Source organism: Homo sapiens, chromosome X, assembly GCF_000001405.40.
Source record: "Homo sapiens chromosome X, GRCh38.p14 Primary Assembly".
Taxonomy (NCBI): Eukaryota; Metazoa; Chordata; class Mammalia; order Primates; family Hominidae; genus Homo; species Homo sapiens.
The window spans coordinates 15,712,397-15,738,694 of NC_000023.11; the positions used below are offsets into that span (position 1 = coordinate 15,712,397).

The 26,298-nt window shown below is 40.6% G+C and overlaps 1 protein-coding gene, 1 long non-coding RNA gene and 1 other non-coding gene across 4 annotated transcripts in view, besides 1 other annotated feature; all 3 read left to right on the forward strand.

The window, feature by feature from the left end:
- CA5BP1-CA5B (CA5BP1-CA5B readthrough) overlaps positions 1–26,298 on the forward strand; it is a 112,954-nt gene that overhangs the window by 36,939 nt on the left and 49,717 nt on the right. For both annotated transcript variants that reach the window (NR_160544.1, NR_160545.1), the window contains exon 4: positions 9,101–9,196. This is a non-coding gene — a long non-coding RNA (CA5BP1-CA5B readthrough). The remainder of the gene's footprint in view (positions 1–9,100; positions 9,197–26,298) is intronic.
- LOC124905268 (small nucleolar RNA SNORA7) lies at positions 3,812–3,950 on the forward strand. Its single transcript, XR_007068428.1, has one exon. It is a non-coding gene; the product is annotated as a small nucleolar RNA SNORA7 (small nucleolar RNA).
- Positions 25,539–25,838: a silencer, noted in NCBI's record as "silent region_20673". NCBI's record gives its function as "represses an Ori minimal core promoter by ATAC-STARR-seq in GM12878 lymphoblastoid cells {active_cell/tissue: GM12878}" and the evidence as "EXISTENCE:reporter gene assay evidence [ECO:0000049][PMID:35858748]".
- CA5B (carbonic anhydrase 5B) overlaps positions 25,874–26,298 on the forward strand; it is a 50,142-nt gene continuing 49,717 nt past the window's right edge. Inside the window, exon 1 of the mRNA NM_007220.4 lies at positions 25,874–25,956. The gene's annotated coding sequence lies outside the window, so the exon portion shown is untranslated. The remainder of the gene's footprint in view (positions 25,957–26,298) is intronic.

Sequence of the window (26,298 nt, forward strand, 5' to 3'; positions counted from 1 at the left end):
AATTCCATATGGATTAATAATATGTGACACTTACGGCTTTTTCTATACGCTTCCAAGTACTTCATATAAATTACTTCATTTCATTCAATGGTAGAATTGGTAGATGCTTAACTTTTAATGAAAGACAAAGTCAGATTCACTCTAAGGATTAAAAAATATATGTAACATTACATTTTAAAGATTTTCAAAAACAATTTGTTGTGGAAATGAATTATTGTCATGAGATATTCCCCACTAGACGGACTTCCTGTAGGGTCAGGGGTCCTGGTCTTCTGTAGGGATGAGCAAGCTTTTCTGAAGGGCCAGGTGCTAAGTGTCTCAGGCTTTGTCTGTTAGGACTACCCAACTCTGCTGTTGTAGCAAGAACACAGCCTGTTAGCAGCAGATACTCAAATGACCAAGCCTCTATTCCAATGACACTTGGTGTGTGGACACTGAAATTGGAATTGCAGATAATTGTTAGGCATCACAAATCTTTTTCATTTTCCAACTGTTTAAAAATGTAAAAATCATTGTTAGCTTGTGAGCTGTATAAAAACAGGTAACAGGCTGGATTTGGCCCACAGGCCATGGTTTGCTGACTGCTGATCTTAGCCCTCATTTGACTCTCAGTGCCCAGCACATAGCAGGCTTTCAGTAGAGGTCACTTAATCCTGTGGCTCCAGCCACAGCAGTGTAGTTCCACGGGCTGGCCTCATGGACAGCAGTGAAGGAAGAGGTTGATGTTGTTCACACTGTTCCCTTTGGGCACTCTGTCAGCTCCTTCTTCCTCGCCTCTTGACAGCATCTGGGGCAGATGGTGTGGCTTTCCTGTCACTTCTGGCTACTAAGGCATCCAGGCCAGCCTAACCAAAACTGCCTTCCTGCCTCTCACCTACAGCTGCTCTCCTTCCAGCAGTTCTGGCCAGAGCAGGGACCTGAGTGGTGGGCTCCAGCCATTTCCTCCGGGCTCCACTCCCTACTCCCTCCCTGCCTGTGCTCCCCTCCACCATGCTTCATTCTCCTCACTTAGGGACAGGAAAGCAAAATGATGGGGGTGTGAGATAGACAAGGAAAGACCAAATTCTTCTTCCTGGACCAGGGCCCTTGTGGTTCTCCCGGCTGTGAGGGGTCCTCTGTGGTGGTGGTCCAGATGCTCTCCACTCAGAATGCTCCTGTGGAGCCTTCAAGGGCCCCTCCAGGGACCTCTGCACTGCATCTTCCCCTGACATGGGTGACATGCTCTCACTGACTTCCTCCACCCCACCTCAGCTCTGCGCCCAGGGGTGTACACCTCCAGCCTCACTCGCTGCCTTGTCCTTGCCCTGTCTCACTTGAGGACATGGGCCTAACAGGCAATGACTCCATCCTGTTCCCTTCCAAAGCCTCTGCTTGGCCCCAGGAATATATCAAGTGCAGACTACTCAGAAAACTGCCCTCTCTCCCCCCAGTCACAGGCGCTCAAGCCAACCTTCCACCATGAAACTTCTCCAGCTACGAGGCAGCCACTAGCTTCAGAGTATCTTCAAGTTTTCTGAAATATTCATGGAATAAGGAATAAGAAAAAAATAAACAGCCAATGTCCAAGACCCCTGAATCCATCTTTGGAAAGGATAATTCTACTGTGTTAGTTTCCTATGGCTGCCATAACAAATACCACAGACTAGATGGCTTAAACAACAGAAGTTAATTTTCTCATAGTCTAGAAGCTGGAAGTCCAAGGGCAAGGTATCAGCAGAGTTGGTTTCTCCTGAAGCCTCTCTTTTTGCCCTGTAATAGCTGTTCTCTCCCTGTCTTCATGTAATGTTTTTGTGTGCACATCTGTGTCCTAACCTCCTCTTCTTTTAAAGACAAAAGTCAGATTGGATTAAGGCTCACCCTCATGACCTCATTTTCCCTTAATTACCTTTTTGAAGATCCTATCTCCAAATACAGTCACATTTTAAGGTACTGGGGTTTGGAACTTCAACATATGAATTTGGGAGGGTAGAGGACAAGATTCAGCTTATAACAGCTACCCTCCAGAATTTTTAATTCACTCAGTCTCACTTTGGAACCAAAAGACCTCTGGAAGGTAGATTTAAAAGCTAACCCATTTGCCAAGCTACTGGTGTTTTCCATCCACCCACCACACTAGAGAGAGGTAGTCTCTTTGCAAAGTTATTTTCAATGCCATCTTGCATTATGTGGTGCCCTTTCCCATAGGAAAAGGCTGTTCATGTAGGAGTGCAGCTTCCTTTATGTCAGTGCATATGGAATCCACCCCAGCACCTGAATTGCATGTTAAACACATCCTGCTTCATTAAGCTGCCCTCATCACTCATCGCCTTGACAGCCAGTATTGCTATAACTCATACTGCCTGGCAGCAAGATCAGCATGTCCCTCCATGCAGGGCACCTGGCCAAGAACCAACTCTTCCTGCCTGGAACATTTTTCCCCTGGCAGGCTCCTTTTTGTTAATCCAGTCCCAGCTTAAATGACACTTCCTCACAAAGGCCTCCTCCTGACCACCCAAGATAAAGAAGTCCCTGCCATCCCACCCCACCATATCATATCATTATCAAGGTAGTTAGTAGTTCTTTTCGTTTGTAACGTGTTTACCATCAATTTCTCCATTGGTCTACAGATGCCATGAAGAGCATTTCCTAAGGACACTCAAGTTGTCACTTGTGTGTTCCAATTTTGGCTTGGGAAATTTTGTGCACCGTGGGCCTAACAGCCATCTTTTATGTCACTGTGACCTATGCAGTTGGCTGCTACTTTTTCATGCAACTACACACAAGTAAAGGTGCAAGTATGTAGACAGTGGTGGCCCCAGGGGATGGTTTGGGGAGAATTTAGCCCATGACAAGTTCCATCAGTACTTCTCTCATAGGCACTCCATATAAATGTGAGATCTCAGTGAAAGGGGAGCTTGCTGCCAAAATGTAGTTTCAACACAAGTCCCGTATAATCTCTCCACCCATCAACAAAGAAAATTTGAAGCCACCACTGTCTGTGAGGGTAGGCTTTCTCATTGACTACTGAAAACTAGAAGGAATGTTTCATATATCATTAATGGCTATTTTGCTCATAGGATGGAATTTTTTTTTTTTTTTTGAGACAGGGTTTTTCTATGTCACCCAGGCTGGAGTGCAGTGATATGATCATAGGTCACTGCTGCCTTGAACTCCTGGACTCAAGTGATTCTTCCTACTCAGCCTCCCAAGTAGGTGGGACAACAGGTACACACCACCGTGCCCAATTAATTTTTTAAAAATGTTTTGTAGAGACGGGGTCTCACTTTGTACTCAGACTGGTATTGAATTCTTGGTTTCAAGTTATCCTTCCACCTCAGCCTCCCAAAGTGTTAGGATTACAGGTGTGAGCCACTGTGCCCAGCCAGGATGGATTTCAAACTAATTTACATTGCAGTGAAACAACTCCCTTGGGCATGAAGGAAGAACTGGCTTTAGATGTTCCCTTGTACTATCTGTAATATAACTTCAGATAGGAAAAGAATAACTTGCTGAAATACAAATAAAATCCAAATCCTCATTTCGGTGAAGAATTTTAGGATTCTCTTTCCTCAAAGTTATTTTCATAAATATAAGGAAAAATAAATTTGAGTTTCACTATCCCCTTGGTGCCTTTCCCTGCTTAAGTAGCAGAAGCACACAAAGACCTCTAATCTACAAACTTGAAAATCAAGAAAGACTATTGTTGATTAAGAGTTGGTACATGCTGTAAAGATAGGGAAGGCTTATTAACACAATGTAGAGATGATGAATGAGCCTGTTCAAGTGTAGATAACAATGATAAGCTCAGAGCAGCAGATAAAAATGAAGATCCTACCTCCCAGGATGGCATCTGGAAGTGGATAGTATTCTGCCAGCTTTGGAAACTGGATGAAAAGCAAATCTGGCAGAGGTACCCATTTCATTCCCAGCTTGCTCAGTAGCTGGTGATTGGAAGAAACTCTGCAACAGTGTTCAATCCCTGGACAGGAAACCCTCCTTCCATGATTCTTCTTTAACATGGGTCTGAGAAAAAGAGAAATACAGTATTTTTTAAAATGAAGATGCTAGCCAACTCTCACCAGAACACATACTTAAATTGTTTTTCAGATCTTGAGGATGATTTAACCTGATCTGTCCTTTCATTGATTCCTCTTAAAACCAAGAGCTTGAGCTGGCTGGGTAGGGGTCCAGTTTTGGTCACAAAAGAAAGCCCCAAGCTATTTAGATCAGAACAGGATTGATGTAGTTCTAGATTGGGTTGGGTATCCTGCCAGTGGAACCAACTTATCCTGGGCAAGTGTGAACAGATTGAAAGCTTGTTCATTGAAATACATAGCATACTTCTCCTAGGGCATTCAAAACATTTCAAAGAAAGAGCCTCCATGCATAAGTGAAATTGAGCATATATACTAATGAGAAGGTGTACAACTCACAAGAGGATAAGGAAAGAGATAATAGCTCTCAACATATGTATACTCTGTGACCCAAATTTCTATTCCTAAGTAAATACCCAAGAAAAAGCATACAGAAAAAACACGTACAAGAAGGTCCATAGCAGTTTAGCCACCTGTTGTGCATGTATCTGACACATAATAGGTGCTCAATAAATGTATATAATTGAACATATCTTTATATCCCACATATGGTTTCACAGGCCAAGTGACACATACTAGTTGTGTCATCAGTTCATACTTCTAGCATGTACTATAAATACTTTAATAAAAACCATTTTATTAACAATTTCCATTTTAGTCTATTATTGCTTTAATAAAACATTGGAATGAGGTCTTTAGGAATGATTTACTCAAGCTTAAGATAACTATGCAGAAGGGCCCAGCAATAAAGAAAGTGTTATTAGAAAGCAATTTTTTCAAAATGAACACTCAGGTACTTCACTTACCGTTTTAGTTGCCAGAGCTGCTCTGTCTCACTCTAAAAGCATTTTCTTGCAAAGGGGTTGGTTTTGATCAACCCAAAAATCTGGCAGCTGTGAAAATCAAAGTTAATGCTATAGAACAGCGTTGTCCAATGGGACATTCTGTGATGATGGGAATGTTCTGTGTCTGTATATGGCAGCCACTACACATAGATGGCTATTGAGCACTCGAAAGAGTGGTAATAATGACAAAATGTGTCAAACAGAGCCCAGTGATTCCTAATATTTTATGCAACTGGAATGAACAAAAAACAGATCTACAACTGAATGGCTCCAAATTATTTACTGAAAGTTTACCCTCTGTCATTTTAGGTGGTTTAATATTTTCTGTTGAAACTCATAAAACAGTCACAGGCTCAAATTTCAAGCCTCAACACATCTGCAAATTTAGAGAAATAACAAGTCCTTTAAATCAAAGATGCACTCAACAGAAAACTGGTTTGTTTTTGTTTATTTTTTTTATTTTTGCTTGGAACAGAGCTGGATGCAAAATTAGGTTGTTTATTGCTGTTTTTTAATATTATTTTTATTGCTGTTTTGACAGTGGTTATTGTCCAGCCTTTTCTCTTACTGGCCCATGTTAATGTATTTTTAAGTTTCAAGGCTAACTACCTGGTTGACAGAGTTCCACCTGAATAGCAATTTCTGGCCAGGCACGGTGACTCATGCCTGTAATCCCAACACTTTGGGAGGTGGATCACTTGAGGTCAGGAGTTCGAGACCAGCCTGCCCAACATGGTGAAACCCTGTCTCCACTAAAAACACAAAAATTAGCCGGGCGTGGTGGCGGGCGCCTGTAATCCCAGCTACTTGGGAGTTTGAGGCTGGAGAATTGCTTGAACACGATCTCATCACTGCACTCCAGCCTGGGCCACAGAGTGAAACTTCATCTCGAAAGAAAGAGAGAGAGAGAGAGAGGGAGGGAGGGAGGGAGGGAGGGAGGGAAGAATAGCAGTTACCAGGAAAAGAGGTCACAACATCCTTTTGGAATAGAAAACAAAAGGCAAACAAAAAAGGAAGAAAAACCCACTCTGCACTTAAAGCTGCCTGAGCCATTCTGTGACCCAGATTAAAATATCAGAAAAAGAACAAAGCCACCACCTAAAAGGTTTAATGATTAACACCCATCATTTGGGTTAATATTTTCATAGAAGTCACCTGTCTCCTGTCAGTTATTTATGGAAATCTACAGATTCGTTGTTTTTTTCCAGACTCTACCTCAAAAGAATGTTTCCTCTGCTGACTCAAAGTTGGAATCCTTCCCTCACCCCTTCTGCGAGTCTCTGGTTACGTGTATGATGGGAAGAATTGAGTCCTATCTAGAGGTTTTTTGGCATGCACCTTCCACCTTTTCGGGGCTAGGATACCTGGTTCATAGACAGACTATCTTCATTCAGGAAACAAACGTGACTCCTTTCTCTCTGGTAAACAAAGGGTGCCCTTCCATGAAGGGCCTCACCTGACTCACCACAGCGGGTGAACATCCCAGGAGAGCTTCAGAGCTTCCTCTTACCTACTTGAGGGTAGAGGGTGGGAGGAGGGAGAGGATCGAAAAACTACCTATCGAATACTGTACTTATTGTCTGGGTGACAAAATAATCTGTACACCAGACTCCCGTGACACACAATTTACCTATATAACACACTTGCACATGTACCCCTGAACCTAAAATAAAAGTTAAAAAAGAACGCTGAAGTTGCAACAAAACCTCAGAGATGCTCTGAGAATTAAGATAATGAGTGTAAAAGAATCTTTCCCCGTGGGCATTCCACAGATGCCAATCGACGCCCCGCCCAGAGGTTGATGTCAGGGCTTTCCTCTCTACCATGCTGCCTCTTCATAAATTCAGTCCCCAAATTCTACCCCATTCCTCGAAAATCATGAATGGCAGAATTAGATTGGGTGACCTTGGTGTTAAATAGAAATATTGGATTTTCAAAGCAACAACGAGGAAAATATCAACAATGAGACTTCTGCAGCACTTTGAGAAACACATCATTTCTTCCTCCTTGCAAGGGTGGTATTTTATTGTAAAGGACCCATGTCCATCAGCTAAATCCAACTGAGGAAGCTTTTTCTCTCTCCTTCATCTTGGTCGCAAGGACACGGAGTCAGGAAAAGCTGTACTAAAAGAAGAGGGAGCCACAACTTAGTCCAGCCATCCTAGCAATGTCACTATATTAAGTGCAATGGAAATTTCCAGAAGGAAGAGCTCACCTAGCTAACCCCTGGAAAAAAAAAAAAAAAAGCCAGACTAGATGAAGTCATCTTGGGAAATGTTAAACTAAGTAAAGTCATGATGGTAAGGAAAAATCAATATACATAGAGATAGAGATTATAACAAAGCATTTTATTTGCATCAAGGAAGAAAGCTATGCTAAGGACATAGAAACCTGCTTCAGCTTTCCTTTAGCCTTACACTTCATAAAAGTATCAAGTGGCTTTCTTTGGCTTTTGCTTAGTCATCTATATAGCTAGGGTTGAAGACAGTAAAACACTGAGTCTTAGTGTAAGTCATTCGTTTGAGAAGACAATCTCTTTTGAATGATGATTTCTCGATGTTTGTTGTATCATCTTTTTAAAAAGAGCAATATAAATTCTTCTTAGAAAATACAAAGAAGCACAAGGAGAAAAGTAAAAATCACCTGTAATTCCACCAGCGTCAAAGAATGACCAATGTTAATGTTTTCTAAATATTTGGAACATACCATTCTAAGCCTTGTGTTTTCTTTTGTGTGTATATACATAAATTCTTAAAAACAAAACGAATCATGCTATTATACAGCTTTGTCATCTTCTTTGCTGAACTTAACTGTGTTCTGTTTTTGTTTTTTTTTGTTTTTTTTTTTTTGTTGTTGTTGTTGTTTTTATAGAGATAGGATCTTACTCTGTTGCCCAGGCTGGAGTGCAGTGGCACCATCATAGCTCAGTGCAGCCTCGACCTCCTGGGTTCAAGCAACCCTCCTGCCTCAGCCGCCCTCCGCCCCCACAATAGCTGGGAGTACAGGCACATGCCACCATACCCAGCTAATTTTAAACTTTTTTTGAATGGATGGGGTCTTGCTTATATTGCCCAGGCTGGTCTCGAATTCCTGAGCTCAAGCAATCTTCCTGTCTCAGCCTTCTTGATTGCTAGAATTACAGACCTGAGCACTGCATCCGATCCACAGTGTTACTTTGAGTGTATTCCCACATCTTTTAATAACTGTCTAATATTTCATTCATTTTATAGATCTGTTGTATGCTTTTAAATTTATTTTTTATTTTTTTAAATTACAGCAAGCAATGCTATAATAAATATTCTGGAAACTGACAAATTTTTATTCACTTCTATTAATATCTTTGGTGTAAATTTAAATTTTGGAGTCAAAAGGTATAGAAACATGTAGGGTTTTAGTATGTGTTAATTTCCTTTCAAAAGGATTATGTCAGTGTACAGATTATTTGCTGTATATGAGTGTCCATTTTCCAGGATCCCGCGCCATATATTATTGGCTCTCAAAACTCTTTTGGCAAAACAAGTGGTATAGCAGTATGTAAATACTGCTTCCATTTGCAATCATTTGTTTCATAGTACAACTGAACATTTTTATATGTTGAATGGTCATTTGTATTTCTTTTTCTGCTTATTTGATCCTTTGCACTTTTTCTGCCAAAATTTTCATTATTCTCAATTTTTTTTTGCATGAATTTGTGTGTGCACAGGCATTCCTTTTTTTTTTTTTTCTTTTTGAGACAGAGTCTTGCTCTGTCAGGCTGGAGTGCAGTGGCTCAATCTCGGCTCACTGCAACCTCCACCTCCCAGGTTCAAGCGATTCTCCTGCCTCAGCCACCTGAGTAGCTGGGATTACAGGCACACCACCATGCCTGCCTAATCTTTGTATTTTTAGTAGAGCTGGGGTTTCACCGTGTTGGCCAGGCTGGTCTCGAACTCCTGACCTCAGGTGATCCACCCACCCCAGCCTCCCAAACTGCTGGGATGACAGGCATGAGCCTCCACACCCTGCTGTACAGACATTCTTTGCCAGTTGTTAGTTCCCCTTTCAATTTGATATATGATTTTTTTGCATTTTCCCAGAAAGCAATCCTATTATTTCATGTCATCTGCATATACTTTAAAGTTTCTCTCCTGCTTTTCAATAGTAATACCTAGTTGTTGATGTTGTTGTTTTGTCTCATTGTAGTGGCACTATCACAACAGAGTGACATAATGGTGGGATAACATGGACACTTGTCTTCTTCCTTACTGTAATGGGACTATTTCTACTCCACATAATCTGGTGAGTCACTGTTAAATATGATTTGTTTTCTGATAAAAGTATCCTTTTATTTCCAGTTTACTAAAAATTATTTTAATCAGTAATCAATTTTGAAATGTAACTATCTTTTCAGTATGTATTATTATGATCATTGGGTTTTTTAATCATTTAGTACTTTTATACTGATAAATTTCTTTACATTGATCTAACCCTTATATAAGTTAATTTTTATTTCAATTTTTCATTATTTGATTTTGACTATTTTAGTTATTTTCAGCAAGCTACTAGACATATTTTGCTAGGTTTTTCCTAAGATTTTTAGCTCTGTTTTCATGAAGAATAGCATATAGGTTTCTTTTCAGGAGCTAATTCTTGAAGATTTTTCCTTTTTATTGCCACCTTGAATATGGTATAGAAATATTTCTAGCATTTTCTGTGTTTTGAAATACTTTAAAAAGCATATGAAATAAACACTTTATGGATAAATAATCTGAATCATGCATATTTGTGGTGAGAAGTTCTCTGAAAACTTCTCATTTCTTCCACGGTCATTTGTATCAGATTTCATGAATCTTTCTAAATCCATTTAGACTCTACAATTTCCAAGACAATCCTTTAATTCATTCAGATTTTTCAGTATTCTCATGAGCATTATAGGATATTTTCTATAAAATATCTGTTTTTGTTGCTATGTTCTCTTTATATTTGCTAGTGAATACATTACTTTTTTCTCAGTTTCCCATTGGACATGCCAGAAGTTTTGCTAGTTTTTTGTTGTTATTTTTTCAAAGAACGTGCTCTTGGATTAATTTTCACTTTTATTCTTTCTGTTTCCTGATTCATTCATCTTAGTTCATTGATTAAGTTATAGTTGTTTTGCTGTTTTGTTTATAACTCTTGAGTTGACTAATAAGCTTGTTTACTTTTGGTCTTAGTTAATAATGAAAACATCTGTGGCTATGGATTTTCCTCCGAGTACTACTCTGGCTATATGACATAAGAAATATAGATGTATAGTAATCTCATTATCATTAATTTTCAGAATAGTCTATAATAACAGTTTTCATTTTTTCCTATAACCCAGTTATTACATTTAAAAGTATTTTCTAAATTTCTAAGTTCTTTTCAGATTTAACTCTAAATATATATGTATCATATTTTAAATATTGTTCTTATTAATCTCAAGCACATGAATACATATTTAATCTTAGAGTTTATGGGAGGAAATCTGTACAGTTTACTTTTAATATCCAAATATATTTTGTAAATAACTTCAAATAAGCATCTGACAATATTCATTTATTATTGTTATTTGCTCTGGCATTCTCCTTTTTTTTTTTTCTTTTTTTAAATTTCAACTTTTATCTTAGATTTTCGGGGGCACATGTACAGGCTTGTTTGTTACAAGGGTATATTGTGTGATCCTGAGGTTTGGGGTATGATTGAACTCATCACCCAGTGAGCATAGTACTCAGTAGGTGATTTTTCAACCCTTGTCCCCCACCCTCCTCCTCTTGTCATCCCAGTGTCTATTGTTGACAATATTCTTTTTAAAGGAATTGTAAGTGAATATTGCACTGTTACATTTCTGTTTTTAAAATAAAAGCATTGTCTTGACTTTCACATTATTTTAAAGCAGATATATCATATTAATATGATTAATACTATTAAAGGGCATGAAGTGGAAACTTTCTTAAGGTAGTAAGATTTTTATATCAGGATAAAGCTAATTCTTGCCCATGGGCTGATGTACTCATATGTTTAGATTTGTTTGACCACAGCAAAAAAAAATTGCTAAATGTGCGGCCCAAAGTGGCAAGATTTCAGTTAATGACTTGTATGGGTCCTATGAGATAAATAAAAAGACAAAAGCTCAAATGACAAATTTGCGACACTGCCAATAACTTGATTTCAAATATGAAGACACCACAGGTGACATGTCACATAGAAGGTACAAAAAACAAATTCATTGTTAAATAGCTTGATGGAGATCTCAGTAAAATAAATAGAAAATGGAACTAGATACTAGGATTCTTGCCTCTCAAGATATTATCTGTATTTTTTTAAACTTTTCAAAATCTTGCACAAATTTAGTGATTGTCTTGATGTGCAAGCTTTTTTTGTTTGTTTGTTTGTTTTTGAGACAGAGTCTTGCTTCGTCACCCAGGCTGGAGTGTAGTGGCACAATCGTGACTCACTGCAGCCTCCGCCTCCTGGGTTCAAGCAATTCTTGTGCTTCAGACTCCCAAGTAGCTGGGACTACAGGTGCACACCACCACGCCCAGCTAATTTTTGTATTTTTTGTAGAGACAGGGTTTCACCATGTTGGCTAGGCTGATCTCGACCTCCTGACCTCAAGTGATCTGCCTGCCTCAGCCTCCCAAAGTGCTAGGATTACAGGCATGAGCCACCATGTACAAGTTTTAAGTAGTAAGTTTTCAGAATCTTTATATCTGTGTAACTTGCTTCATAAACTGCTCATTTCAGCAACTTCACATAAGGGAGCTTAATAACTTATTAGTAACTGTGGTAATGATGACAAATAAAGCAGTTTGAATCATTCTGAATATGTTACTATTTACTTCCAAATGTTCAGAGTTTAGAGCATGTAGATTTAAAAGTTCAGATGACTGTTGCCATGAGCCACACAAAAGGGCACCAAGTCTCCTGAGATGGGAAAAAGAAATTGATTTCTCTGTGTTTTTTATACTCCACAACACTCTTGAAAAGCACTTTCTGGGCACATAACTATTGATCTACTGCTCTGGGGTAAATATGAGATCACATGAAAATGAAACGTGTCATTCTTTTGATTCATGCAAGATGCCTTTTAAAGTTCATCAGAGTCATAAAAGCATGTGGGCATATGTAGGCTCCATTCACCTGCAATAAAACGAGAATTAGGGAGGGCTGATGTTCCTTTTAAATTTGACTCTGAGTATTCTGTTTCATTATCACAGAAATGTAGTAAACATATAATGCCTAAAACTAGTATTATAAATTGTGAAACCATTTCAAATGTGATATTACTCTGTAAATTTTTATTGGGTTTTGGGAAATTTATCTGGCTGTGACACATTAAAAGAAATCAAATAAAACCTTTAATGGCTGAATATGGAAACGTTTTATAAGATTTTAAAATCATGCATTTTTAAAACCAGCATCTAAATTATTTAGCACCATTCAGAAATTTTCTAGAAGTTGTAGATTTTTAATCACATGTGATCCTTCATAGTTTAATGCAATGAAATTGATATGTCTACATAATAAAGCAATTTCAAGAGGTTTATAATAATTAGCCCAATATTTGCTGAATAATTAAGAGGTAACAAAATGGTTCTATTCTCTTTAAGCTATCATTAGGTTAAGATACATATGGAGATTAAAGATTTTTGCCTCATGTGCAAAGCCTATTCTATTTTAACCCAGGGGTTCTCAATCAGGGGCAATTTTGCCCCCCAGAGAACATTTGGCAATGTCTGGAGAGACATTTTTGGTTGTCACAATTGCAGTGGGCAGGGATGGGGGTGCTACTGACATCTAGTGGGTAGAGACCAGGGACACTGCTGAACATCCCGCATTATGTAGGGTAGCTCCACCACAAAGAATTATCTGGGTCCCCAAAGACAATAGTGCTGAGGTGGAGAAACCTTGTTTCAACCTAATGTTGCTACTTTCATTGTATAAATGATTTTGGGGCCAGGTGCGGTGGCTTATGTCTGTAATCCCAGCACTTTGGGATACCAAGGAGGGGAGGATCACTTGAGGTCAGGAGTTCGAGACCAGCCTGACCAACATGGTGAAACCCTTTCTCTATTTTAAAAATACAAAAATTAGCCAGGCATGGTGGCACGTGCCTGTAATCCAAGGTACTTGGGAGGCTGAGGCAGGAGAGTTGCTTGAGCCCAGGAGGCGGAGGTTGCAGTGAGCGGAGATCACACCACTGCACTCCAGCCTGGGCAACAGAGTGAGACTGTCTCAAAAAAAAAAAAAAAAAAAGATGATTTTGGATAATAGATCATGTATGCCTTCCTAGTTTCCCAATATTAGAAATAGTAACTTAGGGTCTAGTGTTTTAGAGACAATTTTGGTGCTGACACCTTAATTGGCATCATTACTTTTATTGTTGACATGTATAAATAAATAAGTCCTATACTGAGGAAACCTCCTAGATGTAGGTGTAGTGAATTTTCTCTATACCTGCTTAGGTAACAATGATTGAGTTCAATCTTGAACTCAGTCTTGACTGCTGCCTAGCAACTTCTTGTCTCAGTACTGCACAGTTTACCTTGAAGAGTTCTGAACTTGGACTTGTTCATCTTAAACTGAGAAGAATGCAAAGAGTTTGCTTATAAACTTTTGCACTGCTTGTACAAAATGAAGTTTTAATTTAACTTCAGTCTTTTCTCTTTTTTTTTTTTTTTTTTTTTGCTGGGATTACAGGCGTGAGCCACTGTGCCCACCCTCTTTTCTCTTTTAAAACTCTGTTTTTCTCTACGGTGAGCACAGCATTTTGATATGTTATTCTTATGAAGGTTCCCCCTATATTATCACTATCAGCCTAACTTATCAATTTGCAAATTTCCTCTGTTTGTCCTTTTATTAACTACCATTTTAAAATTTGAGGTTATTTCCATTAACCCAACTAGTAAGAAGAAAGAAATTAGCAGTTAAAGGCCTAAATAATGTTTCTCTAAAGATTATCATTTAATAAACTTATGGGATACTGCTTAAAATGAAAGATCAGTCAAATATATATACAATATGTGTTATAAGCTTATAATTTATCATTTATTCCATATTCTTTTTTTAAATTTATTACTTTTTTATTTTTTATTATGGGTACATAATAGTTGTATATATAGCATACATGTGATGTTTTGATACAGGCATACAATTTATAATGATCAAATCAGGGTAATTGGGGCACCCATCACCTCAAGAATTTATCATTTCTTTGTGTTAGGAACAGTCCAATTCCCCTCTTTTATATTAAAATATACAATAAATTAGGCCAGGTGCGGTGGCTCATGCCTGTAATCACAGCACTTTGGGAAGCTGAGGCAGGCAGATGACTTGAGGCCAGGAGTTCAACACCAGCCCGGCCAACATGGCGAAACCCTGTCTCTACTAAAAACACAAAAATTTGCCAGGCATGGTGGCATGCACCTGTAACTCCAGCTTCTTGAGAGGCCAAGGCACGAAAATTGCTTGAACCCAGAAGCTGGAGGTTACAGTGAACTGAGATCATGCCACTGCACTCCAGCCTAAGCGACAAAGCAAGACTCTGTCCCCCTGCCTCAAAAAAAAAAAAAAAATATATATATATATATGTGTGTGTGTGTGTGTGTATATATATGTATGCACACACAATAAATTATTGTTAACTATAGTCACCCTATTGTTATGTGTACTTTTATTTTAGGAAATACTGGTAAATAGCTTATTGAAATGTTGTAGCAATATATACTTTCATGAGAATGCATGACTTTGCTAATATCCTCACATTCACCAACACTGGATATTATTACTCTTAATCTTAGCCATCTTATAAGTAAAATTAATTTCTTTTTGTTTAAATTTGAATTATTAGTGAGGTTGGGAATAGTTGTGTATTCTTTTGTTTTAACTTTCAGGTTCAGGGGTACATGTGCAGGTTTGCTATATAGGTACATTGCATGTCCTGGGGGTTTGGTGAACAGATTATTTTGTCACCCAGATAATAAGCATTGTACCTGATAGGTAGTTTTCTGATCCACACCCTCCTCCCACCCTCCACCCTCAAGTAGGCCCCAGTGTCTGTTGTTCCCTTCTTTGTGTCCATATGTACTCAAGGTTTAGCTTCTACTTGTAAGTGAGAACATGCAGTATTTGGTTTTCTGTTCCTGTGTTAGTTTGCTTAGGATAATGGCCTCCAGCTTCATCCATGTTGCTGCAAAGGACATGATCTCATTCTTTTTTATAGCTGCATAGTATTTCATTGTATATATGTACCACATTTTTTAAATCCAGTCTACTGTTGATGGTCGTTTAGGTTGATTCCATGTCTTTGCCATTGTGAATAGTGCTGTGATGAACATACATGTACATCTGTCTTTATGGCAGAATGATTTATATTCCTTTGGGCATATACCCAGTAATGGGATTGCTGGGTCGAATCCAGTCCTAGCTGCCAGCATCGCTATACTATTAACTGATTGTAACCTCAATACTACTTTCTTTGACCCTGCCAGTGGAGGTGACTCTATCTTATATCAACATTTATTCTGATTTTTTGGTCACCCCAAAGTCTATATCCTTATCCTACCAGGTTTCGGAATAATCTCCCATATTGTAACATATTATTCCGGGAGAACTCCAAACTGCTTTCCACATTGACTGAACTAATTTCCCACCAGCAGCATATAAGTGTTCCCTTTTCTCCACACCCCCACCAGAATGTTATTTTTTGACTTTTTAATAATAGCAGTGCTGATAGATGTGAGATGTTCTCTCATTGTGGTTTTGATTTGCATTTCTCTAATGATTAGTGATGTCGAGGTTTTTTTCATATGCCTGTTTGACCATGTGTATGTCTTCTTTTGAAAAGTGTTAGCTCATGTCCTTTGCCCACTTTTTAATGGGGGATTGTTTAGTTTTTGCTTGTAAATTTGTTTAAGTTCCTCACAGGTTCTGGATATTAGACCTTTGTCAGATACATAGTTTGCAAATATCTTTTCCCATTCTGTAGGTTGTCTGTTTACTCCGTTGATAGTTTCTTTTGTGTACAGAAGCTGTTTAGTTTAATTAGGTCCCATTTGTCAATGTTTGGTTTTGTTGCAGTTTCTTTTGGAGACTTCATCATGAAATCTCTGTGAGGTCCTATGTCCAGAATGATATTTCCTAGGTTATCTTCCAGATTTTTATAGTTTTAGCTTTACATTTGGGCCTTTAATCCATCTTGAGTTGATTTTTGTATGTGGTGTAAGGAAGGGGTCCAGTTTCAGTCTTCTGCATATGGCTAGCCAGTTATCCCATCACCTTTTATTGAATAGGGAATACTTTTGCTCTTCTTTTTTTTTTTTTTTTTTTTTTTGTCGATTTTGTTGAAGATCAGATGGTTTTAAGTGTGCCTTATTTCTGGGCTCTCTATTCTGTTCCATTGGTCTATGTGTCTGTTTTTGTACCAATACCATGCTGTTTTGGTTACTGTAGCCCTGTAGTATAGTTTGAAATCAGATTATATGATACCTCCAGCGATGTTCTTTTTGCTTAGAATTGCCTTGGCTATTTAGCCCGTTTTTTGGTTCCATGTGAATTTTAAAATAGTTTTTTCTAGTTCTGTGAAGAGTGTCATTGATAGTTTGATAGGAATAGCATTGAATCTGTAAATAGCTTTGGGCAGTATGGCCATTTTAATGATATTTTAGGTTCAGAGGTATATGAGCAGGTTTATTATATAGTTACATTGTGTGTCGTGGGGGTTTGGTATACAGATTATTTTGTCACCCAGGTAATAAGCAAGTCTCTGCGAGTCAGAGTCACCGTGTCCCACTTCTGTCCTTTATGTTTGTTTTCAGGAGATTGCCTTAACTTGAATCCTGTGGGCTTTCGTTTTTTACCTTTAAACTTCCTGCCATTTTTCCAGGTCTATCCTGATTATCACCTCCTTTGAGAAACCTTTCTTTGCTTTTGCTTTAGTTATAGCTTTATAAGTGACTTGTCACATCTAGTAACTTCATCCTTTCCTTGTCCTGTGCTCCCATAGCATTTTGTTCACATTTGTACATGCATCTATTGCTGACATGATTTACTTTTGTGTCCTGCAAATTGTAAGTTCCTGGAGGACAGGGACTATATTTGGTTCATTTTTGCATTTTTCATAGCCCATGATTATTTGATTGTCGAATATAACTGAATTGACTAGTCTTCATCATAAACTGAAGTTCTAAGAAGCCCAAAACTGTTGGAAATGAAGTGTCTTGAGGTATATTTGATTTTTTTTTCTCATTCCTAGCTTAGGATTAAAAGCGACAACAACAAAGAAAACCAAACAAAAACCCAACTTCCAGAATCGATCATAAACAAAGAATCCTGGAATGTTTTTGTCTTCATCCTGATATTTTATGTCTTTTTTTTTTTTTTTTTTTTGAGACAAGGTCCCACTCTATCACCCAGACTGAGTGCAGCGGCGCCATCTTGGGTCACTGAAACCTCTGCCTCCTGGGCTCAAGCGAGCCTCCCACCTCAGCCTCTTGAGTAGCGGGGACTACAGACATGCGCCACCATGCCTGGCCAATTTTTTTATTATTTGTAGAGATGAGGTTTTGCCACATTGCTCAGGTTGGAATGCCCTATTTTAAGATGAGAAAATCTTATGAAACTAGCATATTCAAAAGGCTCACCAAATTTTGTAGGTTAATTAACAGCCATAACTGTTATGAACTTTGACTTATTTTTCACAGGCTAATTTTTTTTACTTCAGAGAATATTAATTACTACTGTTTGGAAATAAAAATTAACTCAGAGAAACTGAGTGAGTGTCATTTTGCCAACATATTTATAAAGTGGAAATTTAAAGGACAGTTTCTTAAATGGAATGCATGAGCATCTGTCTTTTTGTGTCTCATTCTGTGAATGATTCCCAATAAGGAATAATGAGTCCCATGTAGTCAAAGCAAGACTGTATTGACTCTTCTGATATTTTCTCCTAGATACTCAATTATTTACACTGCTTCTTGGTGTTATATTGAAAGTTTTCCATGGTCTTGGCACATAATGCTTATTTTTCTGGGCTAAAAACTCATGCAGCCATGCATGGAGTTAGGATTTTCAGTCTTTAATCACTTATTTGGCTGCCTGGTTGGAGTTTACCCTAAAGTGTTCAGCCTTGTCCATCCATACTTTACAAAGAGATAGAGGTAGAGGAGGCTGGGTGCGGTGGCTCACATCTGTAATCCCAGCACTTTGGGAGACTGAGGCGGGCAGATTACCTGAGGTCAGGAGTTGGAGACCAGCCTGGCCAACATGGTGAAACCCCATCTCTACTAAAAATACAAAAAATTAGCTGGGCGTGGTGACACACGCCTGAAATCCCAGCTACTTGGAAGGCTGAAGCAGAATTGCTTGAACCCGGGAGGTGGAGGTTGCAGTGAGCTGAGATCGTGCCATTGCACTCCAGCCTGAGTGACAGAGCAAGACTGTCTCAAAAAAACAAAAAAAGAAAGAAAGAACGAGGTAGAGGGGGCATTAGATCACGTGCCACTTTGTTTAGATGCTCTCATTTTCATAACAGAACCTTAAACTAAGTTCCTCCTGGTTGGTATACAAAGCGTATAAATTAATCAACACCTCAACATTTCTGCCCTTAGGTTTTGGCCCGTGAAAATGACCTTGAATTCTCTACCAAGTGATAGTTATCAAGTGTGCTGTAATGAGAAATGTTGTTTTGGTAGGACTGTAAAAGACCTGCATGCAAGGTCTCCATTCCTACAAATCAAATATGTCACATAGGTTGTTGTAGGTAGCCACTCACGCATCTTGTACCCACGATAAACATTGTTAATCAGTCACAGAACATTTTCCTTCTGAGCATGGACTCAGCCACAGAACTTCACAACACAGTTTATTTAGGCAGCTAATATGAATGGATCAGAGTTGACATGCAAATTGAAACCTACTTGCCATGCTGGGGAATAATAACCTAAATGCTACCATGGATTAATCCAGACCATTCCCTGTTGGGGTGATTGGACCCAACACCAGGTCTTGGGGGAGATGAAGTCCGTCGGACTCAAAGGAATGAGAAAAGACAGTTTGAGAGAGAAAGTGGGACCAGGGGGCCATCACTAAGTATGGAGGCTGTGAAGGCCCCGAGCTCTGGAAGCCCAGACTATTTATTGGTGATCAAACAAAGAAACAGGTGGTGAGAATGTGGGGTTGAAAAGGAGCGTTGCATTAAGCACATGATTTACAGCTGTGATGGTTTAGCATATGCTCTGCTACTTGAGATAACGGAGAGCAGGTTCTTTTAACTCAAGATACAATCGCTCCTAGGAGAGCAAGGAGCCAGCAAGTCTAGACACATTCCAGGGCCATGAGGGGTTTTATGCCCTGAGCCCTGGATTCTATCTAAGCAGGAGGGGTTTTATGCCCTAGGCTTAGATTATGGTGCAGCAGGGTAGCCTTCCACCCTTTAGCACAGAGCTTGGTGTTCCAGAGGCCACAAGGGGTTTTAGACCATGGACCCCGGACATGGTCCAAGACTCTTTTACATTATGTCAGACATGCAAGCCCTGCATCAGCTTCTCCCAACACTCAGCTTTTCTCCCAACAATTCCCAACGTGTGTACAGTCTATGGAGTTGAACAGGAAGGTTTGTATAGTCATAGAATTGACTTAATGGACTGTGCTTTGTGATTGTAACAATAGCTTACATTGAAGGAAACTGTGTAATTCTTTAGGACACTTATTTCCCACTTAGCTCACAACCTTATCTTTCTGAGGATTCAGGGTTTCTTTTGGCATTGAAAATCAAGAAAAACTGTAGTTCTCAAAATCAATCAAACAAGCAAACAAAACTCTGGCTTTTAGTTTATGAACACTGGGCTGGGTGCAGTGGCTCACACCTTATAATCCTAGCACTTTGGGAGGCTGAGGTGGATGGATTACCTGAGGTCAGGAGTTCAAGAACTAGCCTGGCCAGCATGGTAAAACCCCATCTCTACTAAAAGAAAAAAAAATTAGCCAGGCATGGTGGCGTGTGCCTGTAGTCCCAGCTACTCAGGTGGCTGAGGCTCGACAATCTCTCGAACCCAGGAGGAGGAGGTTGCAGTGAGCCAAGATGATGCCACTGCACTCCAGCCTGGGCGACAGAGCGAGACTCTGTCTCAATTATATATATTATTAACACTGGAAAACCTTAAAATGATGGTGATTCTCTCTTGCTATGGGCATTCAGAAGCTTAGAGCCAAATCTCTGGCCCACCTTTAGCAAGGACATTTTCCTCTGTGCTAAGAAGGAAAAAGTTCAGGCTTGGTGACTTGTTTATTTTATCATTGGCTGCATTATTCTCTTTCCTTTAAACTTCCCTTTCCGTGGTTCCTTCAGCTATTTCTTTTATCCAATATTGTCTTTAATTTTGAAACTGCCTCAAATCATTTGTGGAAGAAGATGAGCTGTTGCTAACTACATAAAAATGAACACAGTAACTTAATACAAACCATATTTGGTCCCAATTTTTGTTTCTGTTTTCAGGCAAGAAATGTCTTACATTTGAAACATTTTCTATACATGAGGCAGAATTCTCAGGGTCAGGGTGAACTTAATAAAAATGTTTTGTTGAAAAATTGTTCTTTTCTCTGTGCTCCTTCTAGCTCAACTTTGTGAATGTTCCCACTGTCTTCAAGGCAGAAATAGAACAGAAGGTGGGAAAAGAAGGGAACTAATATGTGATTCTAAAATCTTTACTGTTTAAAAAAATAAAAGTGAAATATTTATTGCTGGTAGATGAAGAATTATGTGTAGCAAATCTTGCTGCTATGAGAGGGAAAAAGTGTAGCTCTATACACAAGTAAAAAGGGCATACAAACAGTGAAGATTTATTGTGTAAAAGACTGTAGTAAGTACTATAAATGTGGCTTCCTGTGTTTGCTGCCCAGAAATATCCTACTAATCAGATCAAGAAAGCCTGGCTATGAAAAAATATGGCATCCTGGCCAGGTGCGGTGGCTCATGTCTGTAATTCCAGCACTTTGGGAGGCCCAGGTGGGTGGATCACCTGAGGTCAGCTGTTCAAGACCAGCCTGACCAACATGGTGAAACCCCGTCTCTACTAAAAATACAAAAAATTAGCTGGGCATGGTGTTGCATGCCTGTAATCCCAGCTACTCAGGAGGCTGAGGCAGGAGAATCACTTGAACCTGGGAGGTGGAGGTTGCAGTGAGCCGAGATCAGCCATTGCATACCAGCCTGGGCAACAAGAGTGAAACTCTGTCTCAAAAAAAAAAAAAAAAAGAAAAAAGAAAAAATATGACATCCTAAATAACCACTGTGTTTAATGACATATCAGATTTTACATTCTAGTTCAAGCTTATCTCAGCTTGAACCAGAGTACCTAGCAGTTCATAGGCTAGCACTTGAGTAGCACTGCCTTCTATCATTTATAGTTTAGTTCCTGGCATATAACTAAGCAGTCACTGAACAGATAAAGGAATTAATGAATCATAAAATTATTCATTTAGCAATATTTAAAGGGTATTTGCTGATGCCCCAGGTACTGTGTTAACTGCCAGGAGTACAAAGTTGGGCAAATTGGTCAGAGTCCCTGCTCTTAGGGAATTTACATTATAGTAAACAACCAACCAACAAATAATCAAATAATTTCAAATACTGAGAAACACTATGAAGAAAATAAAATAGGTAATAGAGATGGAGAGGTGAAGCTGTTACTCAAAGTGTCTTTTTGTTTTGTTTTGTTTTGTTTTGTTTTGAGACGAAGTCTCGCTCTCACCCAGGCTGGAGTGCAATGGCGTGATCTCGGCTCACTGCAACCTCCGCCTCCTGGGTTCAAGTGATTCTCCTGCCTCATCTTCCTGAGTAGCTGAGATTACAGGTGCCCACCACCGCGCCTAGCTAATTTTTGTATTTTTAGTAGAGACAGTGTTTCGCCATGTTGGCCAGGCCAGTCTCGAACTCCTGACCTCAGGTGATCTGCCTGCCTCGGTCTCCCAAAGTGCTGGGATTATAGGCATGAGCCACCGTGCCAGCCTCAGAGTGTCTTATAGAACCTCAGGATTGCATCTCCTGGCAGCATGCTTGAAATCTAGAATCTCAAGTCACATCGCGGAACCACTGCATCAGAGTCTGCATTGTAACATGATCTTCGGGTGATCTCTGGGCACAGTGCAGATTGAGAGGCTCTGGATACAACTTCAGATATGGTTGTCAGGAAAAACATATCTAAAGAGGTGACATTTTAGCTAAGTACTGAATAATGAGAAAACTCCAGCCATGTAAAGATCCGAGTAAAGAGTGGTCCAAACAATGGGAACAACAAAAGAAAATGTTCAGAGACAGGAATGAACATGGGAAGACCAGTATAGGTGGATCAGAGTGAGAAAGGGACCTGGAACTCTCTACACTCTGGTATTTATCAAAAACCCTGTGGTGAGAAATTATTTATTTATTTATTTATTTTTGAGACGGAGTTTCGCTGTTGTTGCCCAGCCGGGAGTGCAATGGTGCAATCTCGGCTCACTGCAACCTCTGCCTCCCAGGTTCAAGCAATTCTCCTGCCTCAGCCTCCCTAGTAGCTGGGATTACAGGCATGTGCCACCATGCCTGGATAATCTTCTATTTTTCGTAGAGATGGGGTTTCTCCAGGTTGGTCAGGCTGGTCTCAAACTCCTGACCTCAGGTGATCTGCCCGCCTCAGCCTCCCAAAGTGCTGGGATTACAGGCATGAGCTGCTGCGCCTGGCCACGAGAATTGTTGATTTTGAGTGACTGCACAAAGTTCTGCATGCAAGACCTCTATTTCTACAAAGCAGAGGTACCAGGTAGGTTATTGCATGCAGCCACTTACCTATCCTGCACCCACAGCATTGTTAACTGAGTACAGAACTTTTTCTTTCTGAGCCTGGACAAAGCCCCCAAACTTCTCAACATAGTTATTCAGGCAGCTACTACAAATAGTTCAGAGTTAACATGTGAGTTGAAACCTATTTGCCATCCTGGGGAAAGATGATCTAAATGCTACCCTGGATTAAGCCAGACCATTGAGGGCTTGTGTATTCAAGTGAACAGAAATATGTTGATGGTTCATGGAATTTTTTTTTTTTTTGATACAGGGTCTCAGTCTGTTGCCCAGGCTGTAATGCCGTGGTGTGATCACGGCTCACTGCAGCCTCAGCCTCCCTAGGCTCAGATGATCCTCTCACTTCAGCCTCCCAAGTAGCTGGGACTACAAGCATACATCACCACACTCAGCTAATTTTGTAGAGATGGGGCTTCACCATGTTGTCCAGGCCGGTCTCTAACTCGTGGGCTCATGCAATCCTCCTGCCTCAGCCTCCCAAACTACTGGGATTACAGGCCTGAGCCACTATGCCTGGCCAATTCATAGAATTGATTTAATGCACTGTGCTTTGTGATTGTGCCAACAGTTTCCATTGAGGGGATTTGGGTGTCACTCCTTATGACACATAGTTCCCACTAGGCTCACTACATCATCTTTATGAGGAAACTGTATTTCTCTCAGGACTAAAATTCAAGAAAAACTGCTTCTATAAAAACAAAACAGCCGGGCACGGTGGCTCCCGCCTGTAATCCCAGCACTTTGGGAGGCTGAGGCAAGTGGATCACCTGAGGCCAGGAGTTCGAGACCAGCCTGGCCAGCATGGTGAAACCCCGTCTCTACTAAAAATACAAAAATTAGCTGGGCATGGTGGCGGGCGCCTGTAATCCCAGCTATTTGGGAGGCTGAGGCAGGAGAATCACTTGAACCCGGGAGGCAGAGGTTGCAGTGAGCCGAGATCATGCCATTGCACTCCAGCCTGGGCAACAAGAGTGAAATTCCATTAAAAAAAAAAAAAAAAAAAAAAAGGCCGGGTGCAGTGGCTCACACCTGTAATCCCAGCACTTTGGGAGGCCGAGGCGGGTGGATCACCTGAGGTCGGGAGTTCAAGACCAGCCTGACCAACATGGAGAAACCCCATCTCTACTAAAAATACAAAATTAGCCGGGCATGATGGTGCATGCCTGTAATTCCAGCTACTCAGGAGGCTGAGGCAGGAGAATCGCTTGAACCTGAGGGCCGAAGGTTGCAGTGAGCTGAGATCGCGCCATTGCACTCCAGCCTGGGCAACAAGTGCAAAACTCTGTCTCAAAAAAAAAAAAAAAAAAAAGGGAAAAGAAAAAAAGCCAGTTTTTATCTTATGAACAGTAAAAACCTAAAAATGATTGCTATTTCCTCTTTTCTATGGCTATTCAACAGCTTAGTTAGGGTCAAATTTCTGGCCTACTTCTGACAACTGTTCTGGATCTGATGGAGTGCAAACTTAAATGTTAATCTTATCATTGGCCACATCATTCTCCTTCCATTAAGCTCTCCTTTCACTGGTTCCTTCCCCTATTTTTAAATCTACTAATGTCTATATTTTAGGACGCTGCCTCAAATCATTTGTGGAAGAAGGTGAAGTAGAACTACTTGTATAAAAATAAACTCAGTAATTTATATAGACTGTATTTGGACCAATTTCTGTGAATTCATTTTTCAGGCAAAAAATGACTGACAGTTGAAACATTTTATAAATGAGGCAGAGTTCTCAGGGTCAGGGCGAGCATAATGAAAGTGTTCTGTTGAAAGTTGTTCTTTTCTCTGTGTTCCTTCTAGCCCAACATTTTGAATATTCTCACTGTCTTCAAGCCAGAAATGCAAGGGAGGAGAAGAAAAAAGAACTGTGTGATAGTAAAATCTTTATTGTTGGCATATGAAGCAATATAAGTAGCAAATTTTACTTCTACAAAGGGGGGAAATTATATATTTCTATACATGTGGAAGAGTAGATATTCAGTGAAGATTTTTTGATAATTTATTGTGTAAAGAAATGTACTAAATACTATAAAAGTGGCTTCCTATGTTTACTACCCCCAAATATTCCTACTAATGACCTGAGATTACCAACTCCTTTTCCACCTATTAACCTTTTGCCACATCTTCCCCAATTTTCTCATCCAAACCCAAGTTGGGGCAACTTCAGACTGTAAGCTTCTTGAGGCTTGTCTTGTTTGTCAGGGGAGCATGTACTCAATAAATGAAATTTGCATGAATGAGTCAGAGATTTATGTACACAGGGGAAGAAAGCTGGTTATAGCTTCTTCATATTTTTCACGTGGACCCAGAGTTGTAAATTGAGGGAAGAAGGATAGCAGAGTAATCTCAAAGCACAAAGTGGGGGTGATGTCTTCACACGCCCTCAGCAGCAACGGGGCACTGGGTGCTTAGGAAAGCCCATCTGAAGGAGACATCAGGAAGTAGAGGAATTCTGTTTTTTCCACTCATCTGCCTAGTATTTAAGGTCGGCTAAGAGGCTAGAAGGAACACATCCACAGTTCTGCTTTAGAGGATATGAAAATTGGGCTGGAAGGAACACGGGTCCACAGTTCGAGTTCAGAGGACATAAAAACTGGCTCAAAGAAACTCGGGTAAATTGGACATGAAAACTAGCGGGAAAGGACACGTTCAGTGTTTGTTTCCCTACTGAGTCACCTGTTCCCAGCACATAAAGTCGTGGTGTTTGGAGATGGGAGGAACCGAGGGAAAGTCACTTTTTAGATAAGGCTCTGAAGCCCCAGGTCTAGTTTCAATCCACTAATGCGGCCAGCGGCGAGCAGGAGGAGGGAGGATTGGTCCGGCGGGGGCGGGGCCAGAGCAGGGCTCAGAGGCGTGGCCCAGGCTAGAGGGAAGAGCCCAGGGGGAGCGCAGAGGCGGGGCTAGGAGGGAGCAGGGGTGAATGGGGGCGTGGCCCGGGCGAGAGGGGCGTGGCTGTAGCTAAAGGGGTGTGGCCAGGGTGGAGGGCAGAGACTGGCACAGTTTGGTTGGGCGTGACCGGGGCAATAAGTACGGACGTAGTGGGGCGTGGATCTGCCAGGTGGGGGCGTGGCCTCCATTGAGGGGCGTGGCCCTGGTATGTGGGGCGTAACAGGGCACGAGGGGGCGTAGCTTCGATGGCCGGACGTGCAGGCTGCGGATCCCCGTAGGCGAGCGAGCGGCTAGGTTCGTGATCTGGAGAGACGCTCAGGTAAGGACGGGTGGCCGAGAGGAGTGGGGGGCGACCAGGGACAGGCCGATCCAGACAGGGCCGTGATTCTTCCCACGACTCTCCGCTCTGGCGCACCGGGTTCCGGAGCTAGGAGAGCTGTTGATCCTGCGAGTATTGTCTGGGTCCCGGCAGGGCGCCCGGGAGTACTGAGTGGGGCCTAATGGGGTGTCGAACTCCCCCACCCCAGCCCTCTTCCTCCACTATGGGAGTTACCAAACGGCTGTCATCCTTTAAGGTTCTTTGCACAGGACGCGATAACAGCTGTTCCAGAGAAAAGGGGGTGGGGGCGCGGGAGAGCAGTTCCTTGGTAGGTAGGGTTGC